At 46.2% G+C, this 26,813-nt stretch overlaps 1 long non-coding RNA gene and 1 pseudogene across 1 annotated transcript in view, besides 1 other annotated feature; one reads left to right on the top strand and one right to left on the bottom strand.

The window, feature by feature from the left end:
• The window catches only part of LINC02613 (long intergenic non-protein coding RNA 2613), a 57,104-nt gene extending 32,849 nt beyond the window's left edge, over nucleotides 1-24,255 (top strand). The window contains exons 4-5 of the long non-coding RNA NR_110259.1: nucleotides 13,451-13,648; nucleotides 24,017-24,255. This is a non-coding gene — a long non-coding RNA (long intergenic non-protein coding RNA 2613). The remainder of the gene's footprint in view (nucleotides 1-13,450; nucleotides 13,649-24,016) is intronic.
• Nucleotides 17-1,117, bottom strand: RPLP0P6 (ribosomal protein lateral stalk subunit P0 pseudogene 6; annotated as a pseudogene).
• Nucleotides 5,898-6,399: an enhancer, noted in NCBI's record as "H3K4me1 hESC enhancer chr2:38703635-38704136 (GRCh37/hg19 assembly coordinates)". NCBI's record gives its function as "activates a minimal SCP1, AML or CMV promoter by ChIP-STARR-seq in naive H9 embryonic stem cells {active_cell/tissue: H9 hESC(naive)}" and the evidence as "EXISTENCE:reporter gene assay evidence [ECO:0000049][PMID:30033119]".
• Nucleotides 24,256-26,813: the final 2,558 nt, after the last annotated feature.

Raw genomic sequence — 26,813 nt, 5'->3', positions numbered from 1 at the left:
TTATTTATTTATTTATTTTTTAAAGAAGTAAGCCTTTATTTCCTTGTTTTGCAAATAAAGCTGGCTAAGTTGGTTGCTTTTTGGTGATTAGTCAAAGAGACCAAATCCCATATCCTCGTCCGACTCCTCCGACTCTTCCTTGGCTTCAACCTTAGCTGGGGCTGCAGCAGCAGCAGGAGCAGCTGTGGTGTCAGCAGCCACAGGGGCAGCAGCCACAAAGGCAGATGGATCAGCCAAGAAGGCCTTGACATTTTCAGCAAGTGGGAAGGTGTAATCCGTCTCCACAGACAAGGCCAGGACTCGTTTGTACCCGTTGATGATAGAATGGGGTACTGATGCAACAGTTGGGTAGCCAGTCTGCAGACAGACACTGGCAACATTGCGGACACCCTCCAGGAAGCGAGAATGCAGAGTTTCCTCTGTTTTATCAAGCACTTCAGGGTTGTAGATGCTGCCATTGTCGAATACCTGCTGGATGACCAGCCCAAAGGAGAAGGGGGAGATGTTGAGCATGTTCAGCAGCGTGGCTTCGCTGGCTCCCACTTTGTCTCCAGTCTTGATCAGCTGCACATCACTCAGGATTTCAATGGTGCCCCTGGAGATTTTAGTGGTGATACCTAAAGCCTGGAAAAAGGAGGTCTTCTCGGGCCCGAGACCAGTGTTCTGGGCTGGCACAGTGACTTCACATGGGGCAATGGCACCAGCACGGGCAGCAGCTGGCACCTTATTGGCCAGCAACATGTCCCTGATCTCAGTGAGGTCCTCCTTGGTGAACACAAAGCCCACATTCCCCCAGATATGAGGCAGCAGTTTCTCCAGAGCTGGGTTGTTTTCCAGGTGCCCTCGGATGGCCTTGCGCATCATGGTGTTCTTGCCCATCAGCACCACGACCTTCCCGCGAAGGGACATGCGGATCTGCTGCATCTGCTTGGAGCCCACATTGTCTGCTCCCACGATGAAACATTTTGGATAATCATCCAATAGTTGGATGATCTTAAGGAAGTAGTTGGACTTCCAGGTCGCCCTGTCTTCCCTGGGCATCACGGCGGTGCGTCAGGGATTGCCACGCAGGGTTTAAAGACGATGTCACTTCCACGAGGATGCCTGGCGAGAGAAGCTATTTATTTTTGAGATGGAGTCCCGCTCTGTCACCCAGGCTGGAGTGCAGTGGCGCAATCTCGGCTCACTGCAAGCTCCGCCTCCCGGGTTCACACCATTCTCCCGAGTAGCTGGGACTATAGGCGCCCGCCACCATGCCCAGCTGATTTTTTGTATTTTTAGTAGAGACAGGGTTTCACTGTGTTAGCCAGGATGGTCTCGATCTCCTGACCTCGTGATCCTCCCGCTTCAGCCTCCCAACGTGCTGGGATTACAGGCATGAGCCATCGTGTCCAGCCCGTGAGTAGTTAACTTTTAAGGAGCTGGAGGACTGATCTCAGTAAGCCAGTGACCACCGCCTGCATGTTCAAGAAAATAATCAAAGTGAGTCTTTGATAACCTTCCTCTATCTGTTTTTCTTGCAGATAACAACTCAAATTGACTTAAACAAAAAGAAAAGATATTGGTTCATGTTCCTCAAAAGCCTAGGTGGCCTCAGGAAGGGCTGAATCCAAGGGTTCAAAATATCATATTGGCTTTGCCTCATCTCAGTTCCTCCATTTTTCAGAAGGCTCTTTGCTCCCAGTGGAAGGTGGATGTTGCAGCTCCAGAGTTTTTTATGTTCAGCTGGAAAGAGCAAACCCATTTTCCAGGAGCTTGAGCAAAAGTCCTGAGGTTTTATCAGCTTCAGCAGCCCACAGTCATGTGACTGCCTCAGCCAATTACCGTGGCCAGGAGAATGAGCTATGTTAATTGTCATGCATTGCAACCCTGGATTCTGGGATAGAGTTCCTCCCTTCTCCCCTTCAACATATGGAATGACCCAAATCAAAGTTAGAAACTGTGGAGAGAAGGGGGTGGCAGACACAGCTAACTGCTGTGGTAGATTTTGGGGGACTGGAGCTCAGTGTCTTCCACCCTTCTTCTGTGGTGCCTTCCTGTAATTGCAGGGGATTGAGAGCTCACAATCACATTTCCCAGACTCTCTTGCAGCTATAATTTCTGCTGTAACTTGATTCTGCCCATTGGATGCTCTCCTGTGACATTTAAATGGCTGAAGTTGGGGGGTGGGCAAGATTCTCTTAGACAATTTGGTTGGGGAAGTGTTTAGTTTCTCTGCAGTAGCCAAAGTGGACATCTCAGTGTCTGGTCCCTGGCCTTGTGGGTGTTAAGAGGCAGGCTGAGTCACCTTTTGGGTGGTGTGCCCTATGGTGGGCACCGTGTAGTCATTGAGCTGGCAACACTCCTGGGGGCTTCCTGAGTTTGGCCGTGGAAGTCTGGCTATGGAGCCCTTGGCTTTCTGAGCACAGACCAAGTAGCAGCTTGGTTGGTGGTCCAGGTCTGCAGGGTGACCATTAAGATTTCTTCAGCTTCCACAGCAATTTTGTGGGCCAATTAAGACTCAGAAACAAATTCCTCTTGCTTTGCTTAGCAAGAATGAACTGAATTCTTGCACCTGAGCCATTCCGTGCACTCGAACCCTCTCCCCATCGCTTCAGCTGTCTCCTCCATGCCACCCCCTCACCCTGTCCTTCTTCCTTGCTGGCAGGGCCCACTCCCTCCAGAGAGGCTGGGTCTATATGGAGTGGGTGTGTATGAGAAGGAGAACGTTCCTGAATATTTTCTGCCCTAATAAAAAGAGACATTGGAGAAAAATCTCCCCTCCTGCTTTTGGATGTGTCTCGGGGAGAATGCACTGTGTGGCACTAAAGCAGCCTTTGTGACACCCTGTGGCAATAAGCCTGAGGACATCAGCCAATGTAGAAAGGAAATGGGAAGTTCTGAGTCCTTCATGGCACTGAGGTGCCACTAAATTAACACATCTTGGAACTGGAACTAGTTATGAGAATTTTGTTTAAGCATCTTTCTTTCTTTTCTTTCTTTCTTTCTTTCTTTCTTTCTTTCTTTCTTTCTTTCTTTCTTTTCTTTTCTTTTCTTTTTTTTTTTTTTTTTTTTTTTTTTTCGGAATCTTGCTCTGCCGCCCAGGCTTGGAACTGGAACTAGTTATGAGAATTTTGTTTAAGCATCTTTCTTTCTTTTCTTTCTTTCTTTCTTTCTTTCTTTCTTTCTTTCTTTCTTTCTTTTCTTTTCTTTTCTTTTTTTTTTTTTTTTTTTTTTTTTTTTTTTACGGAATCTTGCTCTGCCGCCCAGGCTGGAGTGCAGTGGCACAATCTCGGCTCACTGCAAGTTACACCTCCCGGGTTCACACCATTCTCCTGCCTCAGCCTCCTGAGTAGCTGGGACTACAGGCGCCCACCACCACGCCTGGCCAATTTTTTTGTATTTTTAGTGGAGATGGGGTTTCACCATGTTAGCCAGGATGGTCTCGATCTCCTGATCTCATGATCTGCCTGCCTTGGCCTCCCAAAGTGCTCGGATTACAAGCGTGAGCCACCGTGCCTGGCTCTGTTTAAGCCACTTTCAACTGGGTTGTGTGGCTACCTGCAGCTGGAAGCATCTTGATGTCTACATCTTTTTATCTCTATACCTATACCTCTAACTATCTATACCTATGTATCCACCCAACGGGTTCACCTTGCCTGCTGCCTAGACAGAGCTGATTTATCGAGACAGGGGAATTACAATGGAGAACGAGTAATTCATGTAGAGCTGGCTGTGCGGGAGACTGGACTTTTATTGTTACTCAAATCAGTCTCCCAAGCATTCAGGGATCAGAGTTTTTAAAGATAATCTGGTGAGTAGGGGCTTGGGAAGTGGGGAGCACAGATTGATCAGGTTGAAGATGGAATCATAGGGGGTCGAAGTGAGTTTTTCTTGCTGTCTTCTGTTCCTGGGTGGGATGGCAGAACTGGTTGAGCCAGATTACCAGTCTGGGTGGTATTAGCTGATCCATCAAGTGCAGGGTCTGCAAAATATCTCAAGCACCGATCCCAGGTTTTACAATAGTGATGTTATCCCCAGGAACAATTTGGGGAGGCTCAGAGTCTTGGAACAAGAGGCTGCATGACCCCTAATCTGTAATTTCTTTTTCTTGTTGTTTCTTTTGAGACGGAGTCTCGCCTCTGTCACCCAGGCTGGAGTGCAGTGGTATGATCTCAGCTCATTGCAACCGCCTCCTCCCGGGTTCAAGTGATTCTCCTGCCTCAGCCTCCAGAACAGCTGGGATTACAGGCGTGTGCCACCATGCCCAGCTAATGTTTGTATTTTTAGTAGAGATGGAGTTTCATTATGTTGGCCAGGCTGGTCTCGAACTCCTGGCCTCAAGTGATCTGCCCACCTCTGCCTCCCAAAGTGCTGGGATTATAGGTGTGAGCCACTGCACCTGGCCCCTAAACTGTAATTTCTAATCTTGTAGCTAATTTGTTAGTCCTGTAAAGGCAGACTGGCCCCCAAGCAAGAAGGAGGTCTTTTTGGGAAAGGGCTATTATCAATTCTGTTTCAGAGTCAAACCATGAACTGAATTCCTTCCCAAAGTTAGTTCAGCCTATGCCCAGGAATGAACAAGCACAGCTTATAGGTTAGAAGCAAGATGGAGTTGGTTAGGTCTGATTTCTTTCACTCTCATGATTTCCTTAGTTATAATTTTTGTAAAAGCGGTTTCACCTATACTGATATTTATACTTATCTATATCTATCTATTTCTGTTTCTAACTATATCTATGTCTATGTCTATTTATATCTATATCTATGTATATACCTGTACTTATCTATATGTCTAATCTATATATCTATATCTGTATCTGAGGATGGAGATGGAGGGGGTGGAGGAGGGGAACAAACTCCAATTCTGCTAACATTCCTTGTGGAATTAGCAACTTTGGTGTAGGCAGGTAGCCACAGCCTTTGGGTTGTTTGGGAGGGATTCAGAGATTGATCTTTTGGCTTCTTTAGTTGAGGCCGTTGAGCTTGGTGGAGGGGGATGGTAGGGACTTCTCGGCTGGTTGACATGAGTGATACCACCCTCATTCCTCCCATTTTCATTCCCACTTCATGAAACAGTGTTGCTCTTGCTCATGCATTTCCAAGGCTTCTTGTGCCTGTTTTCCCACGTGATCTTCATATGAAATCTTCAACGCAAATATTATTTGTCCTGTATTTCTGATGAGAGAACTAGGACATAGACTTAAATTACTTGGCCAGTCTCACACAGCTAATTAAGGGAGCTACAGGTGTGTGACCCTGCTCTAGTTTAATTTCTGCTGGACCCCATTGCTGACTCTAAACTTTGGCAAACTGATTTGTAACAGAAAAAAAACAAAAACCATATTAAGCGCCTAGCAGGTAAACAGAGCTGTGGGTTCACCCTCTTTGTTCCAAAACGGGCAAAGGGCTCTAGGAAAGACCACCCTGGTCTCCTTGGGACCACATCATGGTTTCCACCCTTTGCGCTCAGCAGAGGCGGGAGGCTTCTGGCACAACTGCCATTTGGCTCATTTGTTTGCCAGAACAGAAACTTTCTCAAGCACACTCAAATAAGGGGGGCTTGGGGGTGAGTTTGATGGTGCCCCAAGTGGAGTGATGTGGAGCTTCCCACAGATATCCACAGATACCTAACACATGTATCTAAGACAGGAGCCAGATGGGGTCAAGCCTTCCGGGGGCCATGCAGCAGGGAGGACAGCAGGTGGCTCTGGAGCCTGTCTGGCTGGCTCTAAAGACCCTGCAGTGGCATTGGTCACCTTCATCCCAGGCCCCTCCAGGTGCCTTGGCAAGCTCTGGGCCTGCTCCATCCCATCCTGCCACCAGCTTCTTCCCTGACTCCCTCTTGCATTTTGCTATTCGTGCCCTGTCTGGCTTACTCCACATCACCAGGAGAAAGGCACATTCAACAGAGCAGCATGCAAATAGCAATAGATGTAAAACAATACTGTCTCCGGCCATAGCCAGTGGAGTGAGGCTGCTCTCATTGCCATGAGAGAGAAGACAAGTGGCCCTAGCCCGCGTCCATACAGGGCCTGAGGGCCTGGGCCACCAGCTCGGCAGATGGCCCCTCCCAGCCCTCCTCAAGTCAGTGTGGAGAGGGAGGGGATGGCAAGAGCGCACGGTCACATGGCACACATCCTGGGATCCTGGGCTCAGCCCTTTATCAGGGGGCAGTTCCTGTAGGAGGGTGGCAGATGGAAGGCACCATGAAACTCCCCTCAATCCCCAGCCTGGGCCCTGATTTCCACTCTCTCCCTCAACAGTGGAACTTCCTGGGCAGCTGTGTCTTTGCTAGTCTCATGGATGAGCTTTGAGGAGGAAGCTTGGTTCTTGAGACTGTTGCCCCGGGTTACAGCTGAGTAGATGTGAACTGCGGCACATCTGGGGCCTTGCTTCCCTCTCCTGTATGTCTCCTGGGCCTAGCAAGCACCTAGCACACAGGAGATGCCAAGTAAGTGTTCAGGAATTTTTTTTTTTTTTTTTGAGACGGAGTCTCACTCTGTCGCCCCGGCTAGAGTGCAGTTGCGCGATGTCGGCTCACTGCAACCTCCACCTCCTGGGTTCAAGTGATTCTCCTGACTCAGTCTCCCAAGTAGCTGGGGTTGCAGGCACCCACCACCATGCGGGGCTAAGTTTTGTATTTTTAGTAGAGATAGGGTTTTGCAATGTTGGCCAGGCTGGTCTCGAACTCCTGACTTCAAGTGATCTGCCCACCTTGGCCTCCCAAAGTGCTGGGATTACAGGTGGGAGCCACCATGCCCAGCCAAGTGTTTGGAAATTTTATGCCTGACCCCACTATGGTTCTACTTTTGTTTGTCCGAAAGGAGTCAAATCCAAAGGGAGATTTAAGAGATGAATTTTCCTTGTAATTCACTCCCAAGTCCTTTCCAACTCTCAGCAGCTCCTGTTCAACATTTCTTCCTGGTTCCTGAAACCCTAAGTTCTTGACCTCGGCCTCAGATGATGCCAGTGCATGGATGAGTATAAAGATGGTGGAGGGGGCTGGGCATGGTGGCTCACATCTGTAATCCCAGCACCTTGGGAAGCTGAGGCAGATCACTTGAGCCCAGGAATTTGAGACCAGCCTGGGCAACACAGAGAGACCCTGTCTCACAAAAAATACAAACAAAAGATGGTGAAGGGGACCCTCTTTCCTCCCAATCTTGGCCTGGTAAAGTCAAAGAAGGCGGCAGACAAACCGTGAACCCAAATGAACTTGAAACCTAATAGGGTTTGGCTACTGCATGGAATTAGACTATTTTTAGATGAACGATTTAAATATTGTCCCCACCTGTTTTGCATTCATATTTTACTACTTCCCTGAAATTTCCATTTATCAATATTCTGTCTCATTTAATTCCAAACTGCTGTTAAAGGTTGATATGAACATGTGGTCTGCCCTCTGAGTTATTGTGGGACCAACTGCTGACTCATCGGCCAACTCTCTTGCTATTGATAGGTGTCAAAGTGCAGTTTTAGCTTGCTAATCAACTTCGCTAAACTTGTTGTTTTGTATAACTGTACTCTGTACTAAGCCCAGATGTTGAATTAAGGTGGGTATGTTGATGCAACATAAATGCCTTTTGAATAAATAAATAAATGAATAAGACAATGGTGAAGTAGCTATAGTTCAGGCCCCCAGTGGTACTTTGCCCCTCTGCATTCCCTGCCCTCCTCTGGTGGCCTCTTCTCTTGGACACCAGTGTCCTCATGGTGCCGCTGGATACCTTTAGCTCTCCCCGTTGGCACAGCATCCAGGCCTGACCTCCAGGATTCTATTTTCAAACAGGATTCTGAGAGAATGAAATGTTTATCCTAAAAGGAAGGAGGAAGAAATGCTGTAATGCCAGACATTGGCAAACTGGTCAGAGGACAATTTTTTCTTGGCAGGGGGTTGGGTGTGCATGTGTGTATGTTCGTGCATGTGCAAAGAAAGCTTTCTGGGATTCCAGCTCTGTGAGGCTGGCCCTGGATGTCTGAAACCCAAATCCTAGCTAGGGGAAGCAATGACACTTCTCATCCAAACCTTTATCCGAATGAGCTAAGCAAAGGGAAAAATACATTTCCAGATGAGGAAATCTGAGACCTGGAGAGCTGTCCCTCATGGAGCCTGAGTAGAAGAACCAAAAGATGCCAAGTCACTGGATTCCAATTTAGATGACAGAACATGCCTGTAAAGCTTAAAAACATATGTTCTAGAACTTACATGCCCACACGAGGACTGTCCTATAGTGGAGAAAGATCACTTGTTTCAGTGATTCTATAAAAAAATTTTTTTTAACAAAAAAACAACCACCTACAATTGAGAATTGGCTCCAAGTCAACTTGGAAGACACAGGAGAAAAGTATTCTCTTACATTTTCACTAAAAAATAAAGGAAGGGGGATTCCTCAGCTTGGTGATGGACCTTAGTCACTACTTTTTGCAGCAAATAACTTTTTAAAAATAGCTTTCTCAAGGTAGAATTGACCTACAATGAACTGCACATATGTAAGTGTACAGTTTGATGAGTTTTGACACATGTATTCATTCATGCAACCATCACCACAATCAAGATAAGAAACATGTCCAACACCTTTCAAAGCTTTCTTGTGACCCTTCTGTATTCCATCCCTCCTGCTCCATGACCCCACCTCCCTGTCCCAGGCAACCACATATCTGCTTGCTGCAAATGACATTGCATCTCTTCTGAAAATCAAACTTTTCCTAAAAGGATGAGAATTTTCTAGCTCTTGGGATACGGTTACGAAGGGAAGTCCCCTTCAGAAGCCCTGAGTAATTCTTAGAAGTGACGTCACTGTAGGAGGAAATGCTTAGCCTTCAAGGAAGGGATATTGAAATATGTAAATCCTGGCATTTTTTTTTTTGAAGAATTAATGACATTTCATATCTTATCTTGTATTTTGTGATATTCTGTAGTTGGAATCTACTAACCCAAATTCATTGGCCAGTTCTACAACTACTGTGTTAAAGCCAACATCTGTCTTCTATGAGAGAACAACTCCCTTTCCCCTACTCTTGTTTCTTGTGCCCAATATCTAACCCCCCTCGGCTGGTGTCAATCCTGTCTTCACAATAGCCGTCAGTTTCAACCCACTCTTTCCTGTCTTCTGTCAGTCCCTCTGGGTGGGCCCAGGGAATTTCTCAGCTGGATTACCATGGATCTGTCAGCCTCTTCACTGATTCACCTGTTTCCACGCTCTCCCTCTTTTCATCCCTTGTGTATCAAGGAAATCTTTATAAAAGGCGAGTCTGATCAGTTTATTTTTCTGCTGTAAATTAAAATTTATGATTTTATGTGTGCTCCTGTCTTCCTCTCTAGAGCCTCCCCATGACAGTACCACACCCCAGCCCACTTCTTTCATTTCAACTAGGAAGGATTTTAATAGTGCTACAGAGAGCATTTTCATAATGTACAGACAGTACAGTGACACCCACATTTCTGCCCAATTCTATCATCATTTCTTTCTTTTTTCTTTTTTGAGACAGTGTCTTACTCTGTTGCCCAGGCTGGAGTGCAGTCTCATTGCAACCTCTACCTCCTGGGTTCAAACAATTCTCGTGCCTCAGCCTCCCAGGTAGCTGGGATTACAGGCCTATGCCACCTCGTCCGGCTAATTTTCATACTCTTAGTAGAGACAGGGTTTTACCATATTGGCCAGGCTGGTCTTGAACTCCTGGCCTCAAGTGATCTGCCCGCCTCGGCCTCCCAAAATGCTGGGATTATGGGCATGAGCAACTATGCCCAACCTTCTACTTCTACTTTTTGCTTGCTTCTATCCTCATTTCTTGACACTCACCTCCCAACCAGACCAAACAGCTAGAGGATCCCTGAATGCACCATCCTCTCTACCTCTGTGCCTTTATGCCTGCTATTTCCTCTGCCTGAAATTATCCTTCTTCCTATTCCGGAAGACTTGCATGTTGTACCTCCCTTCTTTGCAGCATTCTTACTGCAATCGTAGCCTGACCAGCGTGGACAGTCATTTTTTGATTTGTCACTAATATCAGGTGGGCAGGGATCATCTGTGTCTTTCAGCACAGAATCCTTAGCACATGTGCTTGCTCATGGAACGAAACAGCGCAATGTCTTCTCCCTAAATCAGTGTCTGATAACGTCTAGGGGCCAGGCGCGGTGGCTCATGCCTGTAATCCCAACACTTTCGGAGGCCGAGGCAGGTGGATCACCTAAGGTCAGGAGTTAGAGACCAGCTTGGCCAACATGGTGAAGCCCCATCTCTACTAAAAATACAAAAAATTAGCCGGGCATTGTGGCAGGTGCCTGTAATCCCAGCTACTCAGGAGGTTGAGGCAGGAGAATTGCTTGAACCCAGGAGGCAGAGGTTGTAGTGAGCTGATATCATGCCATTGCACTCCAGCCTGGGCAACTAGAGTGAAACTCCATCTCAAAATTAAAACAAACAAACAAACAACAAACGAAAAAAACTAACCTCTAGGACAGTGTCATCGGCAAGGTGGAGTTGACGAGTCAGAAATCACTGGTACTTGGTGGAAGTTATTTGTAGCCTGACACAATGCTGTTTCTCCCCAGCCAGGAGCTCTCTTCTCCCAGACTGTGAGCTGCCTCATGCCCTTACTTGCTTCAGACGTCTGTTTCTTGATTCACAAGCCTTCTTTGACTACTCCATATGAAATAGTAACCACCCATCCTCAGCAATCCCTATTTTCCTCTAGCCTGCCTTTCCCCACTCCTTCGACTTTATTGCCATCTGACCTACTATGTGCTTATTTGCTTATTTGTTTACTGTCTGCTTATTTGTTACTATTAGAGTATAAGCTCCCTAAGGGCAGGGATTTTTCTGTTTTGTTCCCTGCTGCATCCTTAGTGCCTGATACATTATGTGTATGTGTTCAACGAACAAATGTGCCCAGAGAACAGTGCATGCCACCAAAGGACAAGACTATGCATTTTGGTTTCCCAGGGTTTATTCTCCATATGATAAAACTCATTAAGTAGTCGCTTATAGGCAGAAACCGGTCACAGGAATGGTTTAGGGAGTTCCAAGAATGAAAATAGCTTCTCTCAGCCTCAAGCAATATAAAAAATATATTTTAAAAAAAGGTTATCACCCTGTCTCGAAAAACCAATAATGTACATGAAGAAAAAAGATCAGAGCAAACAAAGAAAAAGAAAAGGAGAGGGGCTGGGTGTGGTGGCTCACACCTGTAATCCCAGCGCTTTGGGAGGCCAAGGTGGTTAGATCATGAGGTCAGGAGATGGAGACCATCCTGGCTAACACAGTGAAACCCCGTCTCTACTAAAAATACAAAAAAAAAAAAAAAAATTAGCTGGGTGTGGCGGCAGGCACCTGTAGTCCTAGCTACTCGGGAGGCTAAGGCAGGAGAATGGTGTGAACCTGGGAGCTTGCAGTGAGCTGAGATCACTCCACTGCACTCCAGCCTAGGCAACAGTGTGAGACTGTCTCAAAGAAAAAAAAAAAAAAGAAGAGGAGAGACGGAGAGAGAGACAGAGAGAAAGATGCTCAACCACACCACACCAACCTTTTGATGCTACCAGTAGATCTTTGGTGTTTGTTCTAAATTCTGTAAAACCAAATTTACTGAGCTATAAGAAAAAGCAAATGGCAATAGACAAGCTAAATGCTGTGCTTTTATATTAAGAAGCAAGCCCAAGGGTTATTATGTGTGATTTCACTAAGATTCAACCCAGTCTCACAAGAGAGTTGGGCAGGTGATTTATGGGCTGAGGTCTTGGCTTGAACCCTCAATTAGCCTTAGGGCCTAGGGCAAGCCACTTTCCCCTTCTGAGCCTCACCTTCTGCCAGCAAGATAGTGAGGGAGTTGGTGAAAACCAATTTCCAAGGTCTCTTCCACCCATAATGTTCTATGACTCTGTATCTTGACAAGGGTTTTCAATTTGTCCTCATTAATGAAGAGATTCCATTAACCAGGACGTTAAATTCCCTGAGAGTTCTGGTTAATTGGATCCTTACTAAAATAGCTTCTAAATCTTGTTTACTACATTAAAAAAATAAAAGCATTTTTGCATTAATTTCTACCTGCAGGGAATATAAAAGCATTGAACTGTAACAGCTGGGGGTTTCTCCAGAAGTTATTCCTTAAAGCAGAGTTTTCGAAACATTTTGACAGTGATCGCCGTTAAAAAAAAAAAAAAGCAAACTTTTTACATCACACACACACACACACATGGTATCAAAGGTTTGTGAAATAATATTTAACTTTACCATATGATACAGTGTTGATATTTTATATTCTATTCAGAAAAGCTATTCAGTCCACAAGTTGATTTCATGATCCAGGGTTTGAAAAGCACAGCCCTACAGTTCCACAGGAGTCCATCTGCCCCTCATGGACCTCTTTGCATGTCTGCTGGGGGTAAAAAATGCCCAAGACATCCCAGGGCTGTCATGTGGATATCTGAGGACATTGTAGTTACTTTATTGGTTTCACGTTCTGATTCACACTCTTTGAAATGTCTTCGGTATTGCCTGAGAAGTGCTCCTAAGCAGCACAGTGAAGAGAAAAGAGCACTAGACAAGAGTTTTGACTTCTAGTCTGGGTTCTGTTACTATATGGCTGTGTGACTTTGGATAATTCACTTAACCTCTCTGAGCCTTAGCTACCTTCAAACATGGGAATGAATGACATATCCAGGTGCCCCTCTCCTGTACACTCTGTGATCAGGTGACCCAAGAATAATTGCTGTTTTCTTCTAGGGATGGGGAAGAGGAGGAACTGCTGATCTGTTCTGTCCTATATAGGCGTGATGATAGGGACTGGAATTGTGCTTTATGTCCACTTTAGGTGGGACTGGGACAGATGAAATGCCCATAAAGGGCTTTTGATTTCTGTGGCAAAATGGTTTTAAAGCTCCACCCAGTTTTAAAGAATTATTTCTGGACTAAGTATTCCTTGGGAGAGTCCTGCTGTTTCTCAGAGCTTCTCATGTACTCCTTTTTCCTGTATGAGTTAGATCCCTAGCTGTCCCTGCTGGTGTTAACAATTCTTCATGGAGTTGTGTGCCGTTTGGCTGTTTTCCCGTCCTTACATGTGGATGTGGTGAAATAGCCTTCCCAGTGGTGTAAAGTGACATGGAGTGATGGACCACAGTGGGAACCCCTGGAAAGAGGACCTGGGAAGACCCGAGCCGAGATCAGAGTTCAGGCACGGGTGGTCGTGTGGTGCACGCCAAGCAGAACTGTCCAGCTGATACCTGAGCTGCGGCAGGAAAGATGGCAATGCCCTACAATATGGCAACCTCAGATCTCCTATTTGCTTGCGAGTTTTTGTTTGGTTTGATTTTGGTTTCAGTTTGGTATTTGCAGTAACACCAATCTGAAGAATTAGCAACATTCTTCAAAAATGTTCGTAATAACCAGCTTTGCAGTCCAAAGGGCAGCCTTGATTCCAGCTTTCTGCAGCTCACTAAGCCTAAAATTGGGTGTATTATTCATTTTCTTTCCAGATGTGAAACAACCATTTCAACCAGCTTGGACAAAAGAGAGAAGCCAAGATGGGGCTGAGAAACCAATGCAGGCAGGCCCAGGGACCCAGGAGTCAGGGACCAGGTGCTACCAGATGCTTGCTCCGACTCGTGTTGCTGCTGTCTTCTCTGTGCCTCAACTCTGTCCTCTGTCACTGCAGGCAGCTTCCTCCCAAGGTGGTAAGTAGGGCTGCTGCCAGCCCTGGTGAATGACATCTTAGCTTTTACACTGGAGATACACTGACCGCCTTTCTTGGTTCCAGGATGAAAAAGTCTGGGGAGGACTTTGACTCTTACCCATCCCCTGGAAAAATCAACTGGGGAGGTGGAATTCATGGAAGAACATGGCAGCTCCTGAGGCAGATGTTTGGGTTGGAAAGAACACAGCATTCATTCATTCATGTGGCACTTTTTTTTTTTTTTGACGGAGTTTCACTCTGTCACCCAGGCTGGAGTGCAGTGGCGCGATCTCAGCTCGCTCATGCAGCACATTTTTATTGAGCAAAACTGAGAGGCTGAGTGAGAGACCAAAGTCTTCACTGATGAGGGAGAGGGTGCCCAGAGATTGGCAGATGAAGGTGAAGAGAAAAGGTAGAGGACACCAAGGGCCCTGCCAAGCAGCAGAAGTAGGAGGAATTGAGGAGCTTCTTCCGGAATGAAATCAGTTGCACTTTTTTATTTTTTATTTTTTGAGACAGGGTATTTCTCTGTTCTCCAGGCTGGAGTGCAGTGGTTGATCTCGGCTCACTGGTGACCAACCTTTGGCTCCTGGCTCAAGTGGTCTTCCTGCCTCAGCCTCCTGAGGAGTTGGTATTACAGGCACGTACCACCATGCCTGGCTGATTTTTGTATTTTTAGTAGAGATGGGGTTTCACCATGTTGTCCAGGCTGATCTTGAACTCCTGAACTCAAGTAATCAGCCCACCTCGGCCTCCCAAAGTGCTGGGATTTTAGGCGTGAGCTACCGGGCCCGGCCCAATTGCTCCTTTGAAAGGAAGTCCTGCTATGAAAAAAAGTAGCAGTTGAACTAAATGGTGAATTGAATGATGTAGCTGCTTTACATCCTGGCTCAAGCTCCTGACCTTGTTGTAAAACAATAAAAGTTTGGGCACCAGCAGTGAGTCTGCCAGCTACACTGTGAGTAGCTGTGCCCGAGGGGAATTCTTGCACATACTCTATGGGAGATGTGTACAAGAATGTGCATAGTAGCATTGTCTATAATAGCTAAAAAAGGAAACAACCCAGATATTCATAAGTAACAGAATAACGAAGAAATTTTGGCATAATGAAATCCCATATAGCAAAGAAACCAAATAAACTACAGCTACACTCATCAACATGAACAAATTTCAAAAATACTGTTGAGCAAAGACAGCATGTTAAGAAGGTTACAATTAGCATGGCTTTGTCACATGAAATTCACAAAAGGCACCACTAAGCAGTATATTGGTTAGGGATCCACAACAAATGGATTAAAACTATAAAGGAAAGCCAGGGAATGAGTAACACCTGTGTCAGGTCAGTGGCTTGCCCCAGGGTTTGGGAAGGGAGAGCAAGACAATTGGGAAGGGTGGGCATGGAGTGAGCTTCATGGTATTGGCAATGTTCAATTCCTTAAGCTGGGTGGTGTGGATATGTGTATCTGGTTTTTATTATTATTCTTTAAGCTGGACATATACGTTATGCACATTCTTTTGTAATATGATCTATTTCACAATGAAAAAAAATTGTAAAGCAGATATAGCCAAAACCAAAGCTCCTCCACACCCCAATAAAAGGTAGAGTTTGATGTGGTTGAAGAGTCTGAGCCTCAATGGAATGAGGACTTTTCCAGATGTGGTGCTGTACTGGCTGGAATAGCATCCGGGAGAAAGGAGGATGGCAAAGCAACCCACACTGCCCCCTGGCCAGGGCATCGGCAGCTGGACTGAGGGGTGCCCTGGTATCCCCGGGACCTCCTTTTCCTATGGCTCTGGGACCGCTGTGTGCCCACTCTATGCCCCTTTCTTCCTGCACCACAATCCTCAGGGGTTGGCTGGCTTTTCGGAGTCGCCACCAGGTACTTTATTTCTCACAGCTTTCCCACGGCTGCCTGCTGAGTAGGAGGCAATTATCCTAACTTCTCATGTTTTTGACCCTCAAAGCAAGTGCCCCAGCCCATTTGGAGTTAAAAATGTGAAAGCATTTTGGACCACATCCAAAATCTGGTCACTCACCATGTGATTACCTTTTTAGGGAAGGTTTATCATTTGCCTGCTGAAGTTTACTTTAATTTCTGAATGTTTTGCAAACACATTCTTTGTTGACAGCCCTAGCTGGAAATGTTTCAGCTCACCGTGTTCTGGGTAAAAAACATTGTCAAGTCTTTTTTTAACCCCTCACGTTAGATGGTTTTTCTTGGCCTGCATTTCAGTGTCCATTAACCTTAGTGTCGTAACATCTTGGAGTTAGAAGCAACCTTGGAAGCCACCCATCCAACTTCCCACCCAGTGGGAGAATTGTTCTGAAGCTTGCCTGATCACCAGCCTCAGATAGCTTGCTTTTTAAGGGCATTGCTGTACAGACACAGAGTACCATAGTTTACCAATTCCCCATAACATTTTGCATACATTTTCATGAATCTTGCAGAATCAGAAAGCAGTGTGAGCAATTCCAAGTTTGCTAATTAAATTAAAATGAGCACAGACTCTTACAAAACAGGTTTTAGAGTTTCAGGAGGCCTTACATGGTCAAAGACATTTTTCACCTACTTAAAATAATCCTATCCTGGTTAGCAGGGACAGAGAGATGAGGGAGTTGGACACATCACATGCTTGGAAGGAGAAGCAGAGAAGGATTGCTTGGCAGTCCTGTGTGTACATTTTCTTCTGTCCCTTTGTTCTTACTTTCTTGCCTCCTTAAAAGAACAGAGATGGCCAGGTGCGGTGGCTCACACCTGTAATCCCAGCATTTTGGGAGGCCGAGGTGGGCGGATCACGAGGCCAGGAGTTCGAGGCCAGCCTGACCAACATGGTGAAACTCCGTCTCTACTAAAAATACAAAAATTAGCCAGGCGTGGTGGTGGGCGCCTGTAATCCCAGCTACTCAGGAGACTGAGGCAGGAGAATCACTTGAACCTGGGAGGTGGAGGTTGCAGTGAGCTGAGATCGCACCACTGCACTCCAGCCTGGGCAACAGAGTGAGACTTGGTCTCAAAAACAAACAAACAAACAAACAACAAACAAAAACAAAACAAAACAAAAAAAGAACAAATGGTATATAAATGAAGAATATAGACATTGCCCTGCTGAAGGGCGCTGGACTGGCCTGTCATCCTCCCACTGCCACCGCCTGTCTTTCCACCTAATGGTAACTGGATGCCTTGTCCCATTAGTTTGGGCCTACCCCAGTTTCTGAGCCCACCGAGAGATAGTGCAATGTGTGTTAATAGTTGCCCCTTCCACCTGTCTCCCTAACTTTTGTTCTGCTCCAGTAGAGGGAGCCAAGCGGTGATACCAGCTGCTATGGTGGTTAAGTGAGCTTGAGCCTTGAGCCACGCTGGGACCTTGGTGGCACAGGCCCCTCAGAGTAAGGGGAGGAAGCTGGCCTGGGAAAGACTGAAGTTAACCCATCAGAACAACAGGGTTGTTCTGTGCCTAACCCCTCTCTCATGCAAGCTGAGGAGAGTTTCTGGGCTAAAGAAGGTAGCTGAAGATTTTTTTTTTTTTAAGTTAGGGGTAGGAAGCTCAAGCAGGGGTGAGGAGAGAACAATGCAAGGTGCTGACCCAGCCTGGACACACAGGTGCAAGGTCCAGGGGGCATGTGAAGTTCAGGTAAGCTTAAGTAATGGTTGTGAGAAGGCCTAGTTGGTGGCACAGGGCCTGGTGGACCCTTCACAGCATGATACCCCAGTCAGAGCCTATGCAGAGAGACAGGCAAGAAGTGGCAGGATGTCGGGGCCACAAGCAGAAGCTCAGGGCAGGCCAGCATGCCCTGCAGGCCACCAGGGGCAGGAGCCTCCTTCAAGGTTCTGATCCTGCTGTGTGGTCCCTCCCCAGACACCCAGATCTCCCGCAGCACGCTGAGCACCTAGAGACTGGTCCAGGACTGATGCACTCACAGATCTGCCTGGGTCCCGTCTGATGACTCGAAGGGGCCAAGGAGACTGGGACTGACTGCCTGAACTGCCGGGCCCCAAGTTCCGTCAATTCAAATCAACAAATACTGGACTGTGTATCTCTGGGTGAGGGAGTTGGGGTAGGATAAAGATAAGGGGCTGGGTGGCCAACTAAGAGGGAGATTAGGAAATGCTGATAATGTCATATCATATGAATTATACAGCAGATTACACAGCCAGAGGACACTGCTTCGTTAGTCCATACAGGCATCTATTTACATGGGGCATTTACATGGGAGAAGGAGAGGGGGAAGACAACATAGGAAGAGAGGAAGCGGGGGAAGAATTTTGCATAGAAAAAATGCAGTGCCAATCCCTGACCTTGTCTTCCAGTCCAGTGGCAGGTGGCAGCAGGGAAGGACTAAAGGAGCCATTTCCGCAGGGCGTCAGGGAGACAGAGGCCACAGCTATCTGCTTAGGTTCCAAAGTAACTTCAGGGATACTGAGTGGAGGAGAGGGTCATTGTCCTCACCCCGCTGTGCAGCAAAGCATCTCTGTGAGTGTGAGGGCAGCAGAGGTGTAACTCCATGTTGGCACCTACACCACTGGTGTAGTGGAAGCAGCACCCTTGGCGTGCACACAGGTGTATCCCCAGAGGGCAGCCTGAGAGCGCAGCGCAGAGCATCCGCAGGACTTGAGTGGGATCGGAGGTCAGGAACCAGTGACGTTCTGGACACACCCATTATTTTCAACTGGTTGGTACCAGGTTGGGCCAGTAGGACCTGCAAATACTCCAGTTGTGGAAGTTAACAGAGTGTCCTCTCTAGGCGCTTTAATTGCCACCTTCATAACAGCCTTGAAAAATTCCACCCGCCCCCCAACCTTTTAAATTTCTTTTCTTTTCTTTTTTGTCTTTTGAAACGGAGTCTCACTCTGTTGCCCAGGCTGAAGTGCAGTGGTGCAATCTCAGCTCACTGCAGCCTCCACTTCCCGGGTCCAAGCGATTCACCTGTCTCAGCCTCCCAAGTAGCTGGGACTACAGGCACGTGCCACCATGCCTGGCTAATTTTTATATTTTTAGTAGAGACGGAGTTTCACCATGTTGTCCGGGCTGGTCTCGAACTCCTGGCCTTAAGTGATCCGCCCATCCCGGCCTCCCAAAGTGCTAGGATTACAGGCATGAACCACCGCACCCGGTCCCTACCTTTTAAATGTCATAGAACTTTTCTGAATCTGCAATTACCTTGTTTTTTTTCCTTTGGTCCAAGGGTCAGCCAATTTTAAAAATTTTTTTTTCTGTAAAGAGCCAGATAGTAAGTACTTTTGGCCTTGGGGGCCATATGGTCTCTGTTACAACTGCTCAGCTCTGCCACTGTGGTCTGGAAGCAGCCATTGACAATGCATAGACTAACGAATGTGACTGTATTCAAATAACAGATGATTTATGGACTCTGACACTGGAATTTTATATACATTTTCACAAATTACAAAACATTCTTTTTGATTTTTTTCACAAATCCAAAAATATGAAAAACATTTTTAACTTGTTGGGTGCAGAGACAGTCCCTGGCCGTAGTTTACCAATCCCTGAGGGTCAGGAAGGGCTCATAGTTGTGTTGCTAGTGCCTAGCACAATGTCCGACATACAGTAGGTGCTCAGCAGATATTTGTTGGAGGTGTGAACTGCACTTTACATACAAGGAGACCACAGCTCAGGAGGTTAATCAGCTCTCTGAAATGTGGAGTTAGAACTCACACTTTCATGGTTTGCAATACTTTGGAAAGTGAAGTGGTTGGCAGCTCTTCCAGCTGCGAGTCCTCCACTCCTTCTACCAAATCACAGCTTTGGCCTTCCCAGAAAAAAATATTGTCATATGGAATTTCACAGAATTGGGGGCCGGGCGTGGTGACTCATGCCTGTAATCCCAGCACTTTGGGAGGCCGAGGCAGGTGAATCTCTTGAGGTCAGGAGTTCGAGACCAGCCTGGCCAACATGGTGAAATCCCGTCTCTACTAAAAATACAAAATTTAGCCAGGCGTGGGGGTGTGCACCTGTAATCCCAGGTACTTGGGAGGCTGAGGCAGGAGAATTGCTTGAACCCATGAGGCGGAGGTTGGAGTAAGCTGAGATCACGCCACTGCACTCCAGCCTGGGCAACAGAGCCAGACTCCGTCTCAAAAAAAAAAAAAAAAAAAAAAAAGAATTGGGGATTGAGAACTGCTTTTGAGCAATAAATCAACCAGTGAGGTAGACTCTTGTGGTATCACCTTTCAACATGGTCAAGCTATGGAAACGTGATTTTAATTTCTCAGGTTTTTTGTTTGTTTGTTTTTGTTTTTGTTTTTAATCTGCCAGATGGAGACCATGCCATTGCTAGTCTACCTTGAAAGACAGATGTGAAGAATGAAGTCAGGGGCTTTGCAGGTATTAAAAAGTTTCCATGAGGGCTGAATCATATGCATATTGTTCATTTGAGCATTTTCTTTATAATCAAAATTTGTTTGTTTTTAAAAAAACAACCACCAATGGTTTTGTGTGAGCTAGGGGCTACATAAGACCTAAAAAATTCCTGCTTTTGGTAAAAGCAAAAATTAGATCTACTCTAGAAGGCAATCTGACCTTAAAAACATCCAGGTCCCTGGTTGGAAAAACAGGTTCTTTTTCAAAGTCAGTCCTTGCAAGTCTGTATCTCCACCCTCATTTCTGTCAACTCCTACACTTGGTTTCAGCTTAAGTCTCTGTTGGTTGCTACGCTTTTTTTCCCATCTCCCATGACTCACTCCCAGGCTGTGTTCTCACTTGGCCTCAAGCCTGCTCTGCTCCTCAGGCGGTGAGGTTGACCACAAACCATATAGCATTCTAGGAGGTGAATATGTGAACTCCTCTGGAATCTGCACCTGTGTTTCTTCCTCAGCTTTAAGTTACAATGGCTTCCTACACTGAAGCCTCTCTTGGGGCCTTGGCCATCAGCTAGGCACCACCATGATGCCTCCTAACGGGCCCTTGGGTGCTTTTCTGACAAGCAACAGAACTGGAGACTGAGGTGAGGCGCTCTCGCCCCCGCACTTCCCACTGTTCCAGAAGTTTGCCCAGCCCAAGGGTGTGGTGTGGCAGGTGCTGGGCAGTGGATGACACTCCCTTCGGAAGGCCTCATATCTGATGTGTTTTGATTGTTCTGATCCTAGGAAGCATAGTTAATATCAACACATTCTTCCCCCTCCCCCTGGCCATGCCCTGGCTCCAATTTTTTTTTTTTTTTTTTTTTTTTTATTTTTGAGACAGAGTCTCACTCTGTCACCAGGCTGGAGTGCAGTGGTGCAATCTCGGCTCACTGCAACCTCTGCCTCCTAGGTTCAAGCGATTCTCCTGCCTCAGCCTCCTGAGTAGCTGGGACTACAGGCACGCACCACCATGCCTGGCTAATTTTTGTCAGCCTCCCAAAGTGCTGGGATTATAGGTATGAGCCACTGCTCCAGGCCCCAATTTTTAAAAAGTAATATACACTCAGTGTGGAAAGTTTGAAAATATCAATAAGCAAAATGCAAATAAAACCCACCTCTAGAAATAAACACTATTAGACATTTTAGAATATATCCTTTGAGTCATTTTATATTCATAATTTTCTAAATATATTGCATCATGTTGCAATGCTGCTTTGCCACCTGGTTTATGTTTTTACTTAATACATTATGAGCACATTCCCATGTCATGAAGTATCTTTTTATAATTTTTTTATTGCTATACTGGGTTCTATGATAAGTGTGAGCACAGTGTATTTAGTAAACACCGCTTGTTGGATATTTAGCTTGTTTCTGGTTTTCCATGCCAAGATAAACATCCTTAATTATAAATTAATTATAAATGCTTTTATGCATCTCTTGCTGCTTCCTCAGGTTACATTTCTAGAAGTGGAGTTAATTAGGTCAAAGGCTCTGCACATTTTTAAAGGTCATATTGCCTTCCAGAGATGATCCAATTTTTGCTTCTACCAATAGTGCAAAATGTCCCTGTTCCCCAACACTTGCCAACATATTATTGCATATTAATAAGAGGGAGTCTCACTCTGTCACCTAGGCTAGAGTGCAGTGGCTTGATCTCAGCTCACTGCAACCTCCGCCTACCAGTTCAAGCGATTCTCCTACCTCAGACCCCCAAGTAGCTGGGATTACAGGTGCACTTCACCATGCCTGGCTAATTTTTGTATTTTTAGTTGAGACAGGGTCTCGCCATGTTGGCCAAGCTGGTCTTGAACTCCTGACCTCAAATGATCCATCCATCTGAGGCGTGATTACAGGGTGTGAGCCACCATGCCTGGCCAGTATATTTAATAACTTTTGATTGGTAAAAAACATTACTGTTTGAAAGCTGATGAGTGAGGCTGAATTTTTCAATGTGTTTTTTAGCCATTTGTATTTCTTTTGTGATTTATCCTTTGTGAGCATAATTATTTGCTTCTTCCTTCCTCAAATGTATTTATTGTTAGATAGCTCTCAGTTTCAAATTTTGACTCTAGCAATAACTAGCTTTGTGACCTTGGAAAAATCACGCCATTGAACCTCAGTTTTATGATCAATGAATTAGAATAATAATCCCTATTGAATAGAGTTGCTCTCAGGGTTTAATGAGATAGCATATGTAAAGCAATTTCCACTATCTCTGGCACACGGGAGGTGTTCAGTAAATGCTAATTTTTCCCCTTCCCCTACCATGGGCAAGGTGCCCATGGAACACACAAATGTGAAAGATACTCTGTTTGTCTTCAGGGAACACACAATCCAATAGAGACCATAAAATATACACAAATATTTGACATAGGCTTTATAAGATGGGTAGCATTTTGACAAGGTGGGAAGAATTCCAGAGAGAGAGAGTGGCAGAGGTGTGTTTGGGGAGTGGCAAGTAGATTAAGTTGACCACAGTGGAGAGTTCATACAGATAATTCTAGATATATAGGACCTCTACCGTGAAGATACTTTGAACACCAGGCTCATGAATTTGTGTTTTGCTCCGAAGGCAATGAAGAACTATTGAAAGTTTCTGAGTAGCAAAATAACATAATCACAAGTATATTGAGCACTAACTAATATGACAGAGACTGGAGTTGGGGAAATCAGCAATAAAAATTATAACTATGATCAAGTGGCTCACATCTGTAATCTCAATACTTTGGCAGGCTAAGGCAGACAGTTCGAGATGAGCCTGGGCAACATGGCAAAACCCTGTCTCTACAGAAAAAACGAACATTAGCCAGGTGTGGTGGCATGCACTTGTAGTTTCAGCTACTTCGGAGGATGAGATGGGAGGATCGCTTGAGCCCAGGGGTCAAGGCTGCAGCGAGCTGCAATCATGCCACTGCACTCCAGCCTGGATGACAGAGTGAGACCCTGTCTCAAAAAAATAAATAGGCCGGGCACAGTGGCTTATTCCTGTAATCCCAGTACTTTGAGAGGCTGAGGCAGGTGGATCACTTGAAGTCAGGAGTTCGAGACCAGCCTGGCCAACATGGTGAAATGCTGTCTGTACTAAAAATACAAAAATTAGCTGGGCGTGGTGGTGGGCACTTGTAATCCCAGCTACTTGGGAGGCTGAGGTAGGAGAATCGCTTGAACCTAGGAGGCAGAGGTTTCAGTGAGCCGAGATTGTGCCATTGCACTCCAGCCTGGGCAACAGAATGAGACCCTGTCTCAAAACATAAAATGAAATGAAATAAAATAAAATAAGAACCATGATTAAAATTATACCATGTATTAAGTATTGAATTCAAGAGACATTGTGAGAAAAGAATTAACAATAGCTGGCACCTGCATGTGGTGGTGCACACCTGTAGTCACAGTGACTTGGGAGGCTGAGGAGGGAGGATTTGTTGAGCCCAGGAGTTCGAGGCCAGCCTGGGCCACATAGAAAGATCCTTGTCTCAATAACAACAACAACAACAACAGCAACAACAACAATAATAATAATAATAATAATAATAATAATACCTTGCAAGTGAGTGATGTGGAATCAGGGAGAGGTAGAGATCAGAGATGCGTATGAAGCCCAGTGATTGGGAGATTAATTCTAGAAGATTTTATCATTGTTTAAAAAACATGCTTAGGCTGAGTGTGGTGGCTTATGCCTATAGTCCCAGCGCTTTGGGAGGCTGAGGCGGGTGCATCACCTGAGGTCAGGAGTTCAAGACAAGCCCGGCCAACATAGCGAAACACCATGTCTACTAAAAATACAAAAATTAGCCAGTGATAGTGGCACGCACCTGTAGTCCCAGCTACTGCAGAGGCTGAGACAAGGGAATTGCTTGAACCCAGGAGGCAGAGGTTTCAGTGAGCCGAGATCATGCCACTGCACTCCAGCCCAGGTGACAGAGCGAGACTCCGTCGAACCGCAGCAACAACAACACATGCTTAAACAGTTTGTTTCAAAAATCTTCTCCCCTTCTCTATGGGTCCCTTAGGAAGGTGATATATCCCACCTCATGAAATCAGGCTTCACCACAAGATTGCTTTGACCAAGGGGACGTGAGTAGAAGTTTGAAGAACCACAGACTGGTCCATCACCTTGTTTCTTATCCCTCTGACATAAGCAATGTCCCAGACTGGGGCTGTTCTGTTAGCCTGGCTTCCAGAATGAAGAGAGCTGATCTACATGGCATATGTAAGATAAATAAACCTTTGTTATTACAAACCACTGAAACTTGGGGCTTCTTTGTCACAGCAGATGAATTTAGCCTAACTATCCAATACAGGTGTCTTGAGAAGAAACAGCAACAGGAGAAGAAGAAGAAACAGCAACAGCAACAGGACGAAGAGTTGTTTTGGGGGAAAAAAGGATGATCCAGGGTGAAATGTAATAATTCTGAGGTGGCCATTGAATACCTCAGGGGGTGTCAAATGGTTGACTTATAAATGATGAAACTGAGTCTCAGTGAGATCATTTGCCCATGGTCACACAGAAGCTGGAGATATAGATTTGGAAACTGTGTGTGCTGAGAGGGGATGGTCACTAAGGGCAACTTTGTAGAGAGAAGGATGGGGAGCAAGTAAGAGTCAAAGCTGGGTCTCTCAGAAAGTCAAGAGACAAGCCAGGATGGGCCATGACAGAGCAGGGGCAGACATGTTAAGAGAAGAAAACATGGGACAGGAGGTTCCCAAAACTGAGGAAAGGCCTTGGGGTGTGGCAATTACAAAGTCACTGGAGGCCTTTGGAAAAGCTATTTTTGTAGAATGCCAAGAGTGGCAGCCACATAGCAGATGGTTGAGGAGGGACTGTGGATTGAGAAAGTGAAGGTGCTTTTCTGAGAAGTTTCTCTGTCAAGGTGAAAAGTAAATAGAATATGTGAGCAGCAAGGTCCAGTGAAGAATTTTTATGTTGGACATCTGTGTATGTTTCTGGGCAAAGGGGAGAGAATGAGGAAAATGTGAGAGGCTGGAGACACTGGAGAGCCCTTGAGGATCACCGGCCGGGATGCGAGCAGGAGCTGAGGCATCAGGAGTCGTGGAGAATGATGTGGCCTGGACGCTGGGCAGACTCTGCTCCTCAGAGCAAGAAGCAAAGGGGAATTGCTTGAAAGGCGAGTGATGTGTGGAAGAGGAAAGCAGGGCAGAGGGAAAACCTGGAGTGTGCCTAATGGCTTTGACTTTCCTGACAAAGTTGGAAGGGAGGCTGAGGATAGGAGGTCAGGAAAAGGCGAGGAAGGGGCTCCAGGAAGCTGCAGGAGATGAAATGTCTTGGGCAGCAGTCTCCAGTCCAACAGCAGAGGCAAACGGCATTGTGAGCAGAACGAAGTAATCATTCAAAGCAAGAATGCGTATGTAGTTAGGTTCTGTGGTTTTCTATGGCCATCTCTTTAGCCTGGGAGCAAAAACTAGAGAATGAGAGGCAGAGAGAGACCCCAGATCAGACATTTGCCTAAGACAAGGGACAAGAGTGAGGCACACATGAGTCTAGACATTGGAGCAAGGGGCTGCCCATGGCATGGGTAGCTGACAAGGATTTGAGCAGGGCCACAGGGGGTGAACAGAATGGAGACACTGAACTGCTTGCCGGGGATTGGAGGAGTCAGCAATGAGATGTGGCCTTGGTGGTCTGGGGCGGCTATGGAGAGAGGGAGATTTGTGAAGCTCTCCAGGAACAAGTTGCTATTTTATTTTATTTTACTATTTTTTTCTTGAGATGGAGTCTCACTCTGTTGCCCAGGCTGGAGTGCAATGGCATGATCTTGGCTCACTGCAACCTCTGCCTCCAGGGTTCAAGTGATTCTCCTGCCTCAGCCTCCTGAGTAGCTGGGATTACAGGCACCCACCACCATGCCTGGCTGATTTTTGTATTTTTAGTAGAGACGGGGTTTCACCATGTTGGCCAGGCTGGTCTCCAACTCCTGACCTCAAGTGATCCACCCGCCTTGGCCTCCCAAAGTGCTGGGATTACAGGCGTGAGCCTCCGCACCCGGCCACAAATAACCGTTTTAAAGTATACAGTTCTTTGACATTGAGTGCATTGGTAACACTGTGCAACTACCACCTCTTTCTAGGGGTGAAGGGAACTTTATCCACCTAGAGCCAATATTATTTGAGAAGAGCTCTTAGGAGAGCTAAGGGTGAAGTATGAGGCCAGAGGGTGGACAGGGGTGGAGTGAAGCAGGCGACAGTAGGGTGGGAATCAGTTGGTCTGAGGTGCCAAGGTGGTCAGGGAATCAGGGGTGATGGAATCCCAGAGGAGAGAAGTGATATGGTTTGGCTCTGTGTCCCTACCCAAATCTCATCTGGAATTGTAATCCTCATGTGTCCGGGGAGGAACCTGGTGGGAGGTGATTGGATCATGGGGGCAGATTTCCCCCATGTTGTTCTAGTGATAGTGAGTGCTCACAAGATCGATGCTTTAAAAGTGTTTAGCAGTTTCCCACTTTGCTCTCTCTTTCTCTCTCCTGCCACTATGAGAAGAGGTGCCTTGCTTTCCCTTTGCCTTCCACCAGGATTGTAAGTTTCCTGAGGCCTTCCCAGCCATGCAGAACGGTGAGTCCATTAAACCTCTTTCCATTTTAAATTACCCAGTCTCAGGTTTTCTTTATAGCAGTGTGAATATATGGACTAATACAAGAAGTAAGGACAGAAAAGAATAGCTGCTGGAACTCACGGATATGTGGGGAGAAGGCCCACGTCTTCTAAGGGTGAAGCATACAGGCACCAGCACTGGAGCACTGAGGAACATGTGCATTACACACCCATGCCTAGAAGGTCAGGCTTTCCTCCAGC

The sequence above is a fragment of the Homo sapiens genome, chromosome 2 (genome assembly GCF_000001405.40).
Source record: "Homo sapiens chromosome 2, GRCh38.p14 Primary Assembly".
Taxonomy (NCBI): Eukaryota; Metazoa; Chordata; class Mammalia; order Primates; family Hominidae; genus Homo; species Homo sapiens.
This window is presented reverse-complemented; position numbering and strand designations above follow the sequence as displayed.